This window comes from Homo sapiens, chromosome 6 (genome assembly GCF_000001405.40).
Source record: "Homo sapiens chromosome 6, GRCh38.p14 Primary Assembly".
Lineage (NCBI taxonomy): Eukaryota > Metazoa > Chordata > Mammalia > Primates > Hominidae > Homo > Homo sapiens.
Window position 1 is genome coordinate 51,644,703 of NC_000006.12, and position 18,047 is coordinate 51,662,749.

Consider the following 18,047-nt stretch of genomic DNA (forward strand, 5'->3'; position numbering starts at 1 on the left):
CTGGAGTCTCACTCTGTCACCAGGCTGGAATGCAGTGGGCGATCTTGGCTCACTGCAACCTCCACCTCCCGGGTTCAAGCAATTCTCCTGCCTCAGCCTCCTGAGTAGCTGGGACTTCAGGTGCATGCCATCATGTCTACCTAATTTTCGTATTATTAGTAGAGACGGGGTTTTACCATGTTGGCCAGGATGGTCTTGATCTCTTGACCTTGTGATCTGCCCGCCTTGGCCTCCCAAAGTGCTGGCATTACAGGCATGTGTCACTGAGCCCGGCCAATAAACCGAATTTTTAAAGAGTGGTAAACACATCCTCAAATTTGCATAAGAATGGAGATATTTGGCCAATTATAAAAAGGTACATATACACCATATCAATTTATAATTTTCAGTGATTTATTGGTATGAAACTTCCTTTCAATATGTTACTGGCTAATCTCAAAGAATGTTTCATTATAATTACAATACTAACTGCATTAAAAGCCAGTGCTTGAAATCACACTTCTAGAAAGAAGAATTTGCAAAAGTTAACAAGATTTCCTACTTATTCCCCTATTATAATATACAAATATCAAGGTAATAATAGATAATTGTGCTTAAAACAAATAACCTTTATTTTCTTTTTTAAAAAATTTTTACCAGTACTGATATATATCTCTTTGTATAGTATGCATATTTTGAAAACATTATTTTCTTTTTTCTTTTTTTCTTGAGACGGAGTCTTGCTCTGTCACCCAGGCTAGAGTGCAGTGGCGCCATCTTGGCTCACCGCAACCTCTGCCTCCTGGGTTCAAGTGATTCTCGTGCCTCCGCTTCCCAAGTAGCTGGGATTACAGGCGCATGCCCACCATGCCCGGCTAATTTTTGCATTTTTAGTAGAGACGGCGTTTCACCATGTTGGCCAGGCTGGTCTCAAATGCCTGACCTCAAGTGATCCAGCCACCTTAGCCTCCCAAAGTGCTGGATTACAGGCACGAACCGCCGTTCCCAGCCTGAAAACATTATTTTCAAGTCACATTTGAAATCACAAAGAATTTATAAATTATTTCTCATCTAAAATAGCAACACAATATTTAGTGCAGAGATTTGCTTGAGTCCTAGCTCTTGGTCAGAATTATTCAACAATTCTGAATTCAAGGAGTCAAGATAAACCCATTGGCTCTATTCTTTTACTGGGACCCTGCAAGGATTTTTGAAAACTGTCTGACATAGAAGTTGTGGGGAAGGGAGTGAATGCTTTCCTTTCTGAGGATATTTTCCATCTACCTTAAAAATCATTTTTAATCCATTTGAATTCTTGGGACACTTTTTAAATTTTCTCATTGAAACTAGTGGGAGAGATTAAAGAAATTTAACAGATTCACTTTTTCAGACTGTTGTAATCTCCAGCTCCCTATCCAAATATAGGAGATGATTTTTAAATGTTCCATCGAACCCTTCTATTCTAGGTTATATCAGGTTGACATAAAATGAATTTCTCTTCACCTCAAGGTGAAGCCCAGAATTGGACTGTGATATTGTGCATGATTGGGACTCCCTCCGATGAGAAGGAAATACACAATCCTACCCATAAGCAGAGGAAGAATTTCAAGGTGCTGTGATAATTGTGAGGCCCCTTGTGCAGAGAGGAAACCCCTATGCATGAAGAGTTTGAGGCTGTCAGGCAAGATCTGTGTGTTGGGAGATTGACTGCACACAATAGGGAGAAGGCTCCTGGTAGGAAGCATGATTAATAATTTATGGGTTATGTTGGAGGGAGGCAGGTAAGAAGAAAAAAACTCTTGTGACACCCAGAACACAAACTATATTAATTGTAAAACACAACCTCTTGCTCTTACTGCCTTAAAACTGAAATCAAAAGGGCCTACGTCTTAATTTGGCCCAGCAACCAGGTTGTACTTACCTTTTCATGTTTCTCATCATAAAAACTCTTGCTTTTTGCTCCCAATCCAGTCTTCCCCATTTCAGTAAATAACACCAATATCCACCCAATATAACAAGATCAAAACCTATAAGTTGTCCTTAAGTCCTTGTTTTCTTTACTCCTAGTAGATTCTGCTGATTCAACTTCTAAAAGACATTCTGAATCAATCCAGTTGTGATCTCCACCATCCCTTGCCTGGCCTTTTGCAATCACTTTCCAACTGGCTCAGGAGGTTCACTCTTGCCATTCTCCAATCCACCCTCCATAGAGCAGAGTGGTCCTCTAAACATGCGAGTCAGACCTTGGAACTGGCCTGCTTAAAACCCTCCAATGGCTCTGCATCTCACTGAGAGCGCAGCCCAAACTCCCCACCATGGTCCCCAGAGTCCTCTGTTGACTGTCTGGCTCCAGCACCTGTCTCACTTTTCCTCTTCCCTTGATCTCCCTTAGTTATGAGGCTCCTTTGCCTTAATTCTGTTTCTCAAACACATTCTCCTTAACATATTTTCTGTGGATAATATATTGTACTGTTTGACAACATAAAAATACAATGATTGAACAATTTCGTAATAAATTAATATGTGTCTCTTTTGTCTCTTTGAGTAGGTTGTATTTCAACGGTTTTGTGTGTGAGAGGGTTAAATAGGAACTTAGAACTCAGAAACTATTTTTCCCATAAAAATCATGTTACACCTGCTTGCTTCTCTCTAGACCAGGCCCTAAAATGCACATTATTGGGTCCTTCTGCAGAATATGTTGCCAAACTATCTTGGGCCTAGTAGAAATCTGCATTTTAAATAGATTTTCATATAAATGAGCTTCAAGGAAAGTAAGTGGAGCTGGCAGTGGTGCTGGGATAGAACAGGAAGACAAAAGAGGGTAGACAAACATAAGGAGAAAAACTAGCTAAGGGCTGCTATGGGTCAGGTGCTTTTGCACTTATCATCACATTTATTCTTCATACCACTGAGAGCAAGTCTTTCTATTTCCCCATAGAAATCATATTGTACTTGGTAAATTGCTCCCTGGCCCAGTCCATGATACTATACCAAACAAGGGTGTGTCGTGGGGGCACTGAGTGGACTGTAGAAAACCTAGGATTTGATGCTCACCCAAAGATGCCAGGCACTTTTCCTTACACTACCTTAAGGATACGGATAAGTTGGAAAGGTTGCTTTATTGTGAAAGGGAAGGGAGAGAAAAAGTGGTGACTTTAGGATTTGCTGCCAGCCTAATCTTCCTTTTCACAGACACTGACACTGTAGATTAGGGATGAAGGAGTTTCTTCCCAAATTACTGAAGAAATTCAGTATTACCAATTTTGCTATGAATTCCTAATGGCTGCAAACATTTTCTGTGCAGATAAAGTGGTAACAGATATCTGAAATTTACAGATACTTTACCTACCTTTTAGCACTGAGTCTGATGCTCCTTCCAGGGAAGCTGAAATTGTCCATGGCTCTGAAGGAGGTCCCAGGGACTCTACTCTTCGATTCTAGAAATGGGAATAGGAGGAGGGAGGAAGAAAAAGTTGGATTCAGAAGAGAATTTTGTGAAGTTAGAAAAGATGGATCAGATATTTGCTTTTATAAAGCATATATTCAGTAGAAATAAAGGAAAGAAAGTGATAAATAAATGTCTTTCTCATGTTAAGAATATATCAGAATTAACTTATTGTAAGAAGAGTGAGGAAATTATTGCAAGACAAGTTGGGGCAGGACAGTGAGGAGAGGAAAGGAAAACTATGTTTATAGAAAAGAATGGTACTATGTGCTGAAGGTTCTTAAGAAAGGAAAGGTAAAGAGAAGAAAACAGGAGAGAGCTGGGTGAGTGCCAGACCACATCAAAGTTGACAGGTTTTCAAGTGTGGACCTCAGTGCCACAGATTTCTCTCTGCAAACATGTCAGGGGATGCATTTATAAACAGGAGAAAGCCAATTCAACAATCATAGTTCACTGTGAATTTTGTAAATACTGAAAAGATAAAATAGAATCAGGACACAAAGACTGAAATTAGAATTAAGCACAGAAACTTCTTGTTTTACTTAATCACATATAAGAGAGATTATTTTAAAAAACGTAAAACTGTAATGTATCTATAATGTCATAAGTTCCTTCACTAGCATGTGAAAAACTTCTTCAGATATAGATCTACTTCTTTGTGAAGGCTAGATTTCAGAGAAGATGTGACAGATCTACTTCAAGAATTTGGTTGGGGAGGAAAAGTATCAGAATTTTATTTTTACCCTTGATCAAATTCTGAATGTTCAGAGAAAATAGAAGGCAGGCAGGCTGTGAAGTGGAAGGAAAATGTGAAAGTAGTGAGAAGCTCTAAGTGCAACAAATTGCACCCAGTGGGCACTCTGTAAATGTGTATCAATGATGACACACTCTAAAAGATAGGCTGAATGCTACATGCTACTTAGCTCTAAAGACAGATTTGTTACCTGTGAAAAGTTACCTGCTCATCCAAAAATACCAATTGTGGCTGCACTGGAAGCTCATTTCCCACTTCTCCATCTGAAGGCTGGACTAGGATGGAAAGTGCATAGGGCCGAATATATATCAAGTTCCCAGTTTTAAAACTGCTTGTATTTCTGACAGATATAAAAACAAACAAAATACATCCTTAGGATTACACATATCCCTATGGTAGCAATTTTCCACAATCCATTATTACCAGTGAAAATATTTGCATTTGCCTGTGTTTCTAGAAAATAATACATTGTGTAGTGAACATGGCTTTATAGCAAAGGTTAATTGTGTATGTATTTGATATGTTTTCTTAGCTATAATGAAAATGGACTAGGGGGTAGGGAAAATCACAAATTATGAGCATATATTTTTATCATCATTTATTAAAATCAGCCAAAAAATAAAAGCCTCAGTGAAAATTAGCCTCAGACTAATATAGATAATAATAATAAAAGCCTCAGACTAAAATGACAGGACATGGACACGTCCAATAGTAAGCTATTAAATCAGCTTCCCAAATAATGCCCTGATTTGTGGATGTGTTCCAATTCTGTGATATAAATACCACCAACATAGCTAATTCTGAGATGACAAGATAATATCACTGAGCAGAGCTGGGAAGAGATGCCCAACAGCAAACTCCAGTACACCACTGTTTACACAGAATAGCTCATTTAATCTTCACAACAAGCCATATTTATATTTTCCGAGTGTGTTTGTACTAAATGGATTCAATAACTATTAATAGCATTAATGAATTAATTTACTTCAGTTGCATGAAGCATCTGAGGAGAATAATATTTAGAATTGATATTTACTGAGCACATACTATATACCAAGTTCCATGATAAAGTGTTCATATATAAATTCATTGCATCTTTAAAATGACACTATGTGGTAGGTACTCTTATTTATATATGAAGAAACTGAGGTCCAAAAAGGCTTAAATAACTTGCCAAAGGTCCTACAAATAGTAAGTGTTGACCAAGATCTAGAGTGGTTAACCAATGACCTATATTACTTCTTAGTTCCTTTGAACATGTTAAGTGCTGACATGACTTAGCAACAAAATGGAATACATAGAAAATAGTTACATAATTCATGACAGTGTAAAACATATTTCACTCAGAGTTTCGGTATTTTTGATGACAGAGCCTGCTTCATTAAAATAAAATTATATACCTATTGTCCCATTAAGCCTATTGTGAATTACATATCATAGGCATGCAACAGATGTTTGGCAACTAAATGCAGACACCTGGACATCACATATATATGGGACCCTGACATAGAGCAACCCTTGGTGAGTTATCCTCAATAGCCTAGGCCAGGTCTCATGAGGTATTTATTTATTTATTTATTTTTAAAGTAGCCTACTTTGCTTTCTCCCATTAAATGTAAGTCAACTATTCTATTTCCTAACCACCTCCCCTTCCCCACGTGAGGAGGAAAGGATAAAGTATTTATTTAATATGGAGGGTGCATGTCAGGAAAAAGTGAAGATTTGTTCTGAAAGAGGAAATAGTGGAAGAGCAAATACAATGGATCACTAAATATGAAGTTTCCATAGGAAGCAATTTTCTTCTCCCCTGGGAATCCTAGGAAATGCGGGCAGAGTGCAAACATGTGGTCCTAAGAAGCTCTTTAGTCATCTACCAGCTAAGACCCTGGCTTTTTGGCTGGAATCACTCCCTGGGAATTCAACTCACACTAGCCCCATCATCATTTCTTAGTTTGTTTAGCCTGAGTGGCTAGGGCTTCTTTCCTTTTTTAAAGGGAACAATTTAAACCAGATTTTTTAAATCCATGCTATTAATTCTATCCTTCTGTGGGTTCCAGGTTATTAGAAAATTCTAATGTTGTTATCAGATCCTATTTCTCCCCTAACCTTTTCCTTAAATTCTTTCTGATAGGGGCTAGGATGCAGGCAAGCAGTCTGGGTTAAAGAGACTGAAAGACCCCATCAAAGATTCTCACATAAGTACATTGACGTCTTGAGACGAAGAGAGGGAAACCAACTGCCTGAACACCCGCTAAAAGGTCCATTCCTGACACACTTTAAAGTTTATTGTGAGCAAACATCTCTTGTTAAATGTAAACAGCATCTCACTGGAGGTCACAGACTTGCTGCTGCAGCATATCCCAAGGTAATACCACTTTAAGCTCCACATAAACTCTTAAGCAGTTTCTATCCTAAAACCTGACCGTAGGTGGTACTGTTTTTTACGATATGTTATAATAGTGCAATAAATCTGTTAGCTTAAAATCGAATCTCCGTGGCCTTTTAGAGAAATCATCATTAAATGCAGGGTCCTGTTAATGATGCCATCGAAGTGAAATTGTTTAATCTGCTAAGGGGGTGAAAGGTCATCAAATGAATTTTTTATAATACATCAACTTGACACGCAATAGGGAAAACTGTAATAGATAAAAGCAAAGGAAAAGGGCACTGTCTTCTTCTGATAGGTCAATAGCAGCCAAGAGAGTCACTCATCCACTTTCCTTTCATGATGGGCTCCTTTTGCATTTAATATGGACACCCAATTAATACCTCAGCACCACAGACAACCTCATTTTAGGTGACTTATAGCAATTTCTCCCCCTTCCCTGAAATGAAAGTGATCACAATACATCATAGCATTGTGCGAATTAACGTTAATTGATTCAAGTTACCAAGCAATGATGGGCCACTTATATAATCTAGGCGTTATTGGGTGCTAGAAGGGATGGAGGGAAGATTAGATTCCAGTGTCCGTTGCTGTGACGACGGGAGTCACCTGATGCCTTGTTAGACAGTTGTAAGGTTCTATTGCTGGCCCCAGTGGGGTCGTCAGTAAACTGGAGTGATGTCCAAACATCATTACATGCTGCTCCAATATTAAAGCAAAGGGATTAGCAACTTATTGCAAGCAACCTGGATTTGTCATTGTGCTGTCGTTATCCAATTTCCAACTGCTAATGTGACTGTAGCCTGCAGGCAGAAGGACCTACAGCCAAACTTTAAAAAATGGGGGAGAAAAGTTCCCTCCATTCATCCCAGTTTTTACCATTATTTAATAGCTTCCAATACCCAGTTAGGTATGTGAGAGATTTTTTTTTCTGCAATGCTTAAATGCAGGCTATAGGAGAAAAGTCAAGAAAATACAGAAATTTCCCAATTAAGAGATCACTCCTATTCATGTCATTATTCTTGCTTTTCGATTCCACCAGATCTGAAATGTTTACCCTGTAGAAGATGGAATTATTTCTATTTGCATGGAAAACTCAGAAAGCAAGTAAGTTTTATTAGTGAAAACTGGCTCTCAACAAGACCTACTGTGGTGGGGTGAGGTGAAGTTGGGGTGGAAATCAGAGATACTCTCTCTTCAACCTTCTTCTCAAAGCTACTAAGCCGAGTTCCTATAAAAAGCCTCATGTTTTGATTGAATGCTTCATGATGTCCTGAGCATTTTTTATCTCTCTTGTTTTTTTTTTTTTTTTTTTTTTTTTTTTTTTTTTGAGACGGAGTCTCGCTCTGTCGCCCAGGCTGGAGTGCAGTGGCGGGATCTCGGCTCACTGCAAGCTCCGCCTCCCGGGTTCACGCCATTCTCCTGCCTCAGCCTCCCAAGTAGCTGGGACTACAGGCGCCCGCCACTACGCCCGGCTAATTTTTTGTATTTTTAGTAGAGACGGGGTTTCACCGTTTTAGCCGGGATGGTCTCGATCTCCTGACCTCGTGATCCGCCCGCCTCGGCCTCCCAAAGTGCTGGGATTACAGGCGTGAGCCACCGCGCCCGGCCTATCTCTCTTGTTTTAAATAGGCTAGATAAGGCCAAATATTCTATATGTGCCACAAGGGGACTTGAAATATAAAATGATTTTGGACAATTTTGTACTCTGAAAGAAAAAAGTAAATTCTTTAGTCAATTCTAAAGAATTCTAAATTAAATATATTATGTTTATATACAGGGAAAATGCAAATCTAATATCAACATATTTCTATATAGTTAACAAGTATATGTTAACCCTTCTACTATGTACAAATGTTGTTCAAGGCACTGTGAGATATGCAAAGATATAGAACACTGTGATCTCTCCCCCTCAAGAATAACCTTCTGTATACTTTGTATGACAAGAATGACTTTTCTGGTTATCCTTCTGAGTTGATAGATACAATTTTCTTACCTTTCATGGTCCTGATGCTCCCTTTTAAGCCTATCTAGGCTTTCTTAGCAAATAGCCAATTCCTAAGAGGGAAGAAATGTCTTATGATCTGACGGTTTTTTTCTGGCACTGTGGTCTAGTAGTTCCAAGCCTGGCATGTTGTAAGCACCCAGTACATGTTGTTATAGTAACACTTGCCAAATCAGTACCTACTATGCATCCCCTCTGTTCTTAGGTCACTAATTGCCTCTGAAAAACTACCACTCATCTTTGCCTTCAACTTCACATTCTGGGGCACTCCTCAAGCAGTGTGCTTACTTCTATTCTGTGATACTTCTGATTAAACTCTTGTGATTCCATGGAATTATTCATTTAAAAATGAGATTCCAGTAACCTTAGGTATAACTTGCAGTGGATCAGAAGTATATAAAGACACAGAATAAACACGGTACATCTTCCAACAATTCAGGGGACAACTACACCTCTTAGGAGTTGACTAGCTGTTAAGTAAGCCTAGGTGGGTTTAACAGGGCACAAGGACAATGAAAGATAAGTAAAATCAATTATAAGCAAAAATCAGGGGACAAAAACCTAAGTATTTTAATTGGTAAATCATTTAAAACAAGATTTTATAATAAATCTAGCATGAGTATTTTATCTAGGAGAATGAAAACTCTGCATTTTTAAAGACCATACGCAAAATAATCAAATTTTCCTGTTTAGCCTGGGGAGCTGTAGCAGTCATAAGTCTGTACAGGAAAACAGAAATCACTCAAGGTCTTTCTAATGGAAGAGATTTAATTCAAGATATTGGTTGCACAGGAGTTTTAGAATAGTAGAAAAGTAAAACAGGCTACCTTTCACTGTATGTGATATATTGAATGATAATTTATTGTGATTTACAATGTGCTTAGGCACACTTGAGAATATAATCATAAGTCGAAACCTTGACCACCTAATAAATTTTATAAAGATTAACATTTTATACTCAAGTTAATGTTACAAAAAACTGGATTAATGGCTAAGCAGCTTCATAGAGAATTAATGATTTATTTGTAATAGATACGGAATGAGATTTAGTATAACATCTTCTCATTAAATAGTTGAATAAATGTTGTTTTTCATATCCATTAATTTTCAAATCTCTAGATTCTTATAGGGACCATATGATATTTTGAACATAATAGCTGTTCGGTTAACACTGGGGAATAAAAAACATTGGCATGTAAGCTTTCAAGAGTCTATTATATTTACCTATGAGTTCACTATGTGTACAAATAATTCTTAAATTAATTGATTTTAAGTTAGTGTCGTCTGATTTTGGACTTAGAACTTTTCTGGATGTGGATATGTCAACAGCAACAATAGATTACAATTAGCATCCTTTTCATAGCAAAATAGCAAAAAAAAAAATACAATAGATTACAATTAGCATCCTTTTCACAGCAAAATAGCAGAAAAAATACAAACCGCAGGACAAGAACTAAAGATTTAGTGGTCTGGCACCATTCAGTATACGAAAAATAGTACCCAAGGGCATCACAGCAAAAACAGGATTGTGAAGTAAATGACAGATTTAATGATGACCATGAATCGTCATAACAAATGTGAACAGTCTACATTATTTCCCATTGAATAAGCCTGGGTATTATGCAATCTTTGTCTTTTTTTAACGATTAAGAGTTGAAGACTTTTTAAAATGCTTGTTATTAATGGAACAATTTTTAATTGTATGGAAAGCTTGCTTACGTAGAACATCTCACTTTCCCACAAAGCCACACATATGAAATAAGATTACAATAATTTTGCCATCGACCCAATTAAACAAAGTAGTGAATTTGTACTGTAGTGAAAAGAAGAAATGATGTAAAAACACTCTTTAATGGCAAAGTTGTGATTTTTGTCATAGGGAAGAAAAGAGACAAGCTGGCAATATAGGAATCTCTTCTAGGATGAACATTCTGCCGGTCTGGAAAAGAACATACTTCCTTGCTGATAGAAAGATTCTACTCTTTCATGCTCCAAACAGCTCTCTTCTAGAAAGCAGGTGCCCAGGATACATAAAGAGGAGAAGATGCAGAAGAGAAAATGCTAAAGGTGACTGAATGCCAAAAGACTTGTATAATTGATTGGCTTTCCTGGTTTTCTTCTCTATTCCAAAGCAACCTGATAGGGTGCTCCTTATGCAGAATGGGGGAACTTAAAAAGCTACTAATATGATAAGTATATACACATTGCACACACCCAGACACACACTCCCACAGTGTCATGCTCACCCTCACAGTAACTGTTTTCATGGCCCAAAATTCATGGCAATGTCACAAACAAAGAGCTTTATGTGATATGCCATATTACTTTCTATTGCTGTATAACAAATTACCACAGTCAGTGGCTTACAGTAACACAAATGTGTTATCTCCAGGGAGTGGGCCAGGAGTCCAGACAGGCTTGGCTGGGTTTACTGAAGAGTTCACTTCCAAACAGGTTGTTGGAAGAATGCATTTCCTATGACTACAGAATTGAGGTCCCTGAAAAACCACAATGAGATACTATCTCATGCCAGTCAGAAAGGCAATTATTAAAAAGTCAGGAAATAACAGATGCTGGTGAGCCTGTGGAGAAATAGGAACACTTTTACACTGTTGGTGGGAGTGTAAATTAGTTCAACCATTGTGGAAGAGAGTGTGGCGATTCCTCAAGGATCTAGAACAAGAAATACCATTTGACTCAGCAATCCCACTACTGGGGATATACCCAAAGGATTATTTATAAATCATTCTACTATAAAGACACATGCACACATATGTTTATTGCAGCACTATTCACAATAGCAAAGACTTGGAACCAACCCAAATGCCCATCAATGATAGACTGGATAAAGAAATGTGGCACATATACACCATGGAATGCTATGCAGTCATAAAAAAGAATCAGTTCATGCCCTTTGCAGAGACAAGGACAAAGCTGGAAGCCATCATTCTCAGCAAACTAACACAGGAACAGAAAACCAAACACCGCATGTTCTCACTCATAAGTGGGAGTTGAATAATGACAATACATGGACACAGTGAGGGGAACATCACACACCGGGGCCTGTTGACGGGTGGGGAGCAAGGGAAGGGAGAGCATTAGGACAAATACCTAACGCATGTGGGGCTGAAAACCTAGATGGCAGGTTGATAGGTGCAGCAAACCACCATGCCACATGCAAGAAGACAACAAATGACAACAGAGATCAACAAAGTTTTGGAAGTTGGAAAACATGGTGATGGAAACTTAGCTAAGCAGAGGATGCTTGAATCCAGATGCCTCTAGAGAAAGACCAGAAGAGGCTAGTTCACTGTGTATTATTTACTTTAAAAGTAGATGGCTACTCCGTTTCTTCCCACAAAACAGAGTTGGTAGCTTATAGCTTTTCTTTCTTTTTTTTTTTTTTTAAGACAGTATCTGGCTCTGTCACCCAGGCTGGTGTGTAGTGGCATAATCTCAGCTCATTGCAACCTCTCTCTCCCAGGCTAAAACAATCCACCTCAGCCTTCCAAGTAGCTGGGACTACAGGCATGCACCATCACATCCAGCTAATTTTTGTGTTTTTGTAGAGACGGGGTTTCACCATGTTGCCTAGGCTGGTCTCAAACTCCTGCGCTCAAGCTATCCACCTACCTCCACCTCCCAAAGTGCTGAGATTACAGGTGTGAGCCATCACGCCTGGCCCAAAGTTGGTAGCTTTTGAAAGTAGCTAGTACTCTCTTAGAAAAATGTGTCCAGTATGGCCTGAATTTGTTGAAATGCATATAAGCTCATTAAATTAACGAGAGCAAACCACTGGAGAACATCCTTGGTACTTTTCCATGAAAAAACTTAAAGTATAATAATAATAAAAAAAAAAAAAAGAAAGAACTGCATTCCTAGACTCATTTCTGCTGGCTTAAGGTCAGTTCATGGGCTCGTCAATGGCTCTCCAGTGAGTTCAATGGAAGACCCAACTGACTGTGATCAAAGCTGAAAGAAACAAGGCTGGCTCTGGAGACTGTGTCGGGCTTTAGGGTTTTGTTTCATTTTGGTTTGGTTTTTTATCATACTGTGCAACACTAGAAAACATGAGAAACCTTGCTAATTCTCATTGAATGCCATAGGATATGGCATTTCTTATTCGGGAGAAATTTGTTCAGACATACTTAAGAAGCAGCCCTTCTTTATCTTCAGAAGATTTACTCTTTGCCTTATGTCTAGAAAATGTCTTTTAAAATGCTAAAGAAAAAGAGAGAGAGATAGGCGGATAGAACACATTCCAACACAAAATCAATGCTATATTATACACTTTGAACTGTTTCTTATTAAATCAGAAATAACTGAGTCAAAAGTAAAAAAACATGATGGCTATGACAAATGGTGGGTGATAAATAAAAGTGATCTTTTCTCTGAAGCTGTTTCACTTCCTCATGATAGAATGGCATGCCCCACATATATGTGTGTATATATCTAAACTTGTGCTGGATCCACTCTCTGCTGGTTTTCTTCTGATGTACCTCTATTGCTTCTACTCATTGACTTTTCTCTGTTTCTAGTTAAAAGCACAATATTAACTGAGTCGTCTTTTATATATAATATAAAATCAGTCATTTTGGAATTACGACCTATTAGAAAGCTCAGTACTGTAAAATCTAAATAAAATTAAGCAATAAACTGACTCTCTTTCTCTCTAGACAAAAATTATTCATGTATGTATACTTATAATATACTTACAAGAACTCAGTGGGATCTAAATAAAATTGGGCAAAAGGAAAGATATTTCAATGTAAGCTAAGATGCATCAGCATCATTTCTTTAAGCATTCTAATTCTCATACCACCATACACAATATTATAATAATGTCACTAACATGGTGAAGGTTTGGTAGTTGACAAAAATATCCAAAACTGAATAAATTTTGAATAATAATAAGCTATGAGTACCTTTTAATTTTAAGTTAACAATTCCCAAAGGCCTTAAATCAACCAGATCCAGAAAAATTTGCTTGCATTTTTTCTCATCCTCTTTATATATCAATGTATAACAGGAAAGAGGAACATCCATCTCTATTATAAACACAAAAACACTAGCTAAACTTTCACTTGGATATGTTGCTCTGTGTACAAAAAGACAATCAATGTATTAGCTGAATATTTCTCCAAGTGTGAGGACGTGGTTTTCTTTTTAGTTTTGCTTTTTATTTAAGTTCTACCAAATTCCACATTCACTGGAGATGGTTGTATAGAAGTAGTCACTACCCATTAAATACTAATAGCTTATTAGCACTATCACAAATAAAATGATATAGCAGTAGCAACAGAATAACATCTATTTCACTTTACCAACCCTAGAACCTAGCCCATTGCTTAAATTCATTAAATAAATAAATAAACAATCAAATGAACTAAAAACAAGTTGCTTCAAAAATATCTCTTCCTACATGCTTTTCACCTTAAGGAATCAAAATATAATGTTTTCTACCACCTTGGAAATAGAATAATCATGAAAAACATGAATTTAATATAGAATCTAAAAACTAAGAATTTAAGTCTTTAAATGACTCTTTGAATTTTTATTCTTATCTTAAAAAGCAGATGAGTTATATGATTCAGTGTAAGTAGATTGACATTTGCAACATATGTCAATATGGACCTAAAAAATCAGCCCTCATTTGGATGTGAATATAATTAGTACTTACCCATAGCCAATGACTCCCTTTGACTGAGTAACTAGTAAGGCCCCGATAGTCATATTCAGAACATTCTCTAGTACCCCAGTCTGTTGAGCAGTGATGACTCGATGAGCCAAATTCTGTAATTTGTTACTTGATAAGGATGAAATCATTCCAGTGCTCCTTACTGTTGGCGAATCACCAATTTCAATGACAATCACTTTTGAGATAGTTTCCACAGTCATTGGGGGTGAAGCCCTATGTGAGTTCATTTCCATCATGAGAGGCCTACGTTGACCAACTCTTCTATAATGACTAGTGCAAGTCACAGTAGGGCAATTGCGCTTTCTTTTTGCTCTACTGTCAGCAATGGCCTTTAAGGTCTCTTCATGGCCAGGCATCTCGTGAATAAACCTGATTTGGTTTTGGCCAATCTGTAAGAAGTTAGTTAGTCTTTCGAGTATTACTATTTCCCAGCCTTTTTCTAAGACTGAAACCATCACAGTGAGGGCCAAGTGAATGGAAACACCTGAGCGTATTTCAATGGGCTCCTCTCCTTGTAGGACAACATACAAGAGGTTATCCATGATGTTGAAATAGTTGGCACCAATAGATTCATTCAGCAATAAGGAAGCTGACTGAACCAGAGTGGGTGGAATAAAACTTTCCCCTAAGAAGACGTGGGGGCTCTGGAGCTCATGGTAGAATACAGCCAAGAGAAGCTTGGAGGTACTTTTGTTCCCCAATAGAAAAAAGCGCAAAACTTGAGGAGTTTGATCCATGAAGCAGACTTTGGTGATTTGCCTGATGGGTAAGATAGAATAGAAAGTAGACACTGACCCAGAAGTAGAGCAGGGAATATTGGCATTTACACTGCTAAAGACATCAACAAAACCACTAGTCACAGATACAACTGGATATAACTTCTGAATTGCCCAAATGGCATCAGCGCTATCAAGAATTAGGACCACTTGGTCAGTCTGTTTGCAGATGAATCCTTGCATCAGAAATTGGTATGTACATTTCTGTTCTTCTCTAAATGTACCTATAAAAGAAAAGAAGCAAAACAAGTGATATATGAATTATAATCTGTCAATGATTATTTGTAATCCATCACTCTTGCCATCATCTATAACTGGATAAAATATTTATTAAACATCTAATTGTGCCAGATACTGAGAGTGCAAGGAAGATTGCGGCAAAATATTTTTAAAAATTAAATAATAGTTCTTTAATATATTTTAAAAGTATATGTTACATAATATGTTATTTAAAGTTAATAATGGAGATAATAACTGAGAAAAGGAGTTGAAGAAGTAAAAGAATCAAGACAATGAAATAATCATTAAGGGCCCTTGAGAGAAAAGCAAGATAAACTGCTTTTTACTACTCTCACACACTCCATATAACACAAAATACCTCACCTCTGGTCACCAAAATGTGTAGGTATTTCACCACACCAGCAACCAATTCTCCAGTGGATACAAACTGGGTGTCACATAATTTAACCAAATTCTGATACTAAACAAAGTTAGTGCAGACTCCACAAGGTAAGGGCTCAGTCTTACAAGCATGCCCCTATTTCAGATGCCAATTGCAAGTCCTAGGCTGTGACCTCTGCTTCTGAACAACTGGCTATATAAATCAGGGCTCTCAGGACTCCATCCTTGAATTCAATTAACTCGCTAGAGAGGCTTACAAAACTCAGGGAAACATTTACTTATGTTTTTTCATTTATTATAAAGGATATTACAAAAGACGCAGATGAACAGACAGATGGAAGAGACGCATAGGACAAGGCATGTGGGAAGGGCATGGAGCTTCCATGCCCTCTGCATGTGCCACCCTCAAGACACTTCCATGCGTTCAGCCACCTGAAAGCTCTCCCAATCCTGTCCTTTCAGCCTTTCATGGAGGCTCCATTATGTAGGTATGATTGACTAAGTTATTGGTTGTTGGTGATCGACTCAACCTTCAGACTCTCTCCCTTCCCCTGAAATGGGGATGGTGAGGAGATGAGGCTTGATGTTCCAACCCTCTAGTCACGTGATTGGTTCCCCTGGCAACCAGCCTCCATCCTGAGGCTATCCAGTAGTTGAGGCATTAGCTCATTAGAAAAAAAAGATATTCCTATCACCCAGGAAATTCCAAGGGATTTAGGAACTGTGTATCCAATGTTTCTGTCACTTAGGGAATTACAAATATCTTAGGGCTTCTGTGTCAGCAACCAGAGTCAAAGATCAAATATTCGAACAAAAGAGTCTCCTAGCACTACTGATTTTAGTAGCTCTGCCTCAGGAACCAGAAATATAGATACAGATATAGATTAGATATAGATATAGATATATAGATATAGATACAGATTTAGATAGATATAGATATAGAAAGAATCTCACAATATCATAGCTCCATAATAGAAATAGGGTATAAGAGAAGGGGTAGTAACATCCAAGCGAATGGGAGAAGAGGTAGATGGAGGGGAATGGGTGGAACAGAGAAATTATGAAGGCATATTAAAATTGAAGAGGTGTGTCTGACCAGATTGTGAAAGAGTTTGGATGTCAAACTATATAATTTTCTCATACTCTATTTTTCCCTAAACATAAAAAGTAAAGAAATACAAGAAGAAGGAAAGAAGAAAGTAGTAACTTCGGAAGTTGTTGATATTAAAGAGTCCAAGTTGAGGATGGTGAGGGTTAATAAAACATTTAAAGGAACAGCGTTATTCATTATTTCTACCATTCCTAATACCTCCTATATGAACCCAGAATAGTTCTTGTTTTGAATCCATAGGGATATTTTATCTTTCAATAAAGAATTTCTTTGATTTAAAATTTATATTCACGAAATCATTCTGTATTGTTTTCTAGATTTTTAAAATTTGCCTTAGTGTAAGTTCATAAAAGTAGCTTAAGAAATGGAACAAAAAATCAAATTATCTTTAATGTAGGAAATACTAGATTTGCATATAATCTAGTCTTTCCTATATTCTTCCATCCATATGATATAATTATAAATCTATGCTAAACCTGACCATGGTGTTAATAAATTTAACTACCAAATTGTTGGTTCAGAAGTAGGGCACATGTTTTACTTTTTCTTCAACAATAACAGCAAAAACAGGGATGATTAAAAGTCACAAGGAAAACTATAAAATATTTAAAACAATAATAATTATACTTTTACTATATTAAAATTTGGGGAATGAAGTTAAAACAGTACTTTTATGGGAAAATTTATAGTGTTAAATGCTCATATAAGCAAAGAAGAATTATCTAAAAGCAATGTCCTATATGGTACTACCTTAAGAATTTTGAAAAAAGATACAATGGACAGCATGGTGATTGCAGTTAATAATACTGTATGATATAATTAAAATTTGCTAAGGGGGTAGATCTTAACATATTCTCACCACACACACACGCACACACACATACAAGTAAAAAGGTAATAATGAGGTAATGGATATATTAGTTTTCGCAATGTATATGTGTATCAAAACATCACATTATATAGTATATCCTAAATATTTAAAATTTTTATTTGTCAATTATGCCTCATAAAAGCTGGAAAAAAATAACAGAACTGCACGTCAAAAATTTTTTAAGGAATTTAGAAAAAGATCACAGAAAAGTCAAAGAAAGGAAATAATCAATATGATTGCAGAAATCAATGAAGTAGAAAAGAAACAACAACAAAACAAAATAAAACAATAGAGAAAGCGATTCTTGGAAAACAGCAACAAAATTGACTAACTCTTCCCTAGACCGATCAAAATAAAGAGAATACAAATCACCAATTTTAAGAATGAAAGGATTATCATTA

At 37.1% G+C, this 18,047-nt stretch overlaps 1 protein-coding gene and 1 long non-coding RNA gene across 16 annotated transcripts in view; one reads left to right on the top strand and one right to left on the bottom strand.

Moving 5' to 3' along the window:
- Positions 1-18,047, bottom strand: part of PKHD1 (PKHD1 ciliary IPT domain containing fibrocystin/polyductin) — a 472,317-nt gene that overhangs the window by 29,404 nt on the left and 424,866 nt on the right. For 13 of the 15 annotated variants that reach the window (XM_017010944.3, XM_017010945.3, XM_017010947.3 and 10 more), the window contains 3 exons: positions 14,250-15,267; positions 4,383-4,518; positions 3,329-3,416 (listed from right to left, as the gene is read on the bottom strand). In XM_017010944.3, coding sequence (XP_016866433.1) covers positions 3,329-3,416; positions 4,383-4,518; positions 14,250-15,267 — 1,242 coding nt within the window. Of the gene's footprint in view, positions 1-3,328; positions 3,417-4,368; positions 4,519-14,249; positions 15,268-18,047 lie in introns of those variants that run through there. The other 2 variants (XR_001743469.2, XM_011514687.2) reach the window with 2 other exon arrangements.
- The window catches only part of LOC124900615 (uncharacterized), a 31,884-nt gene continuing 21,221 nt past the window's right edge, over positions 7,385-18,047 (top strand). The window contains exons 1-2 of the long non-coding RNA XR_926871.3: positions 7,385-7,474; positions 7,607-7,671. This is a non-coding gene — a long non-coding RNA (uncharacterized LOC124900615). The remainder of the gene's footprint in view (positions 7,475-7,606; positions 7,672-18,047) is intronic.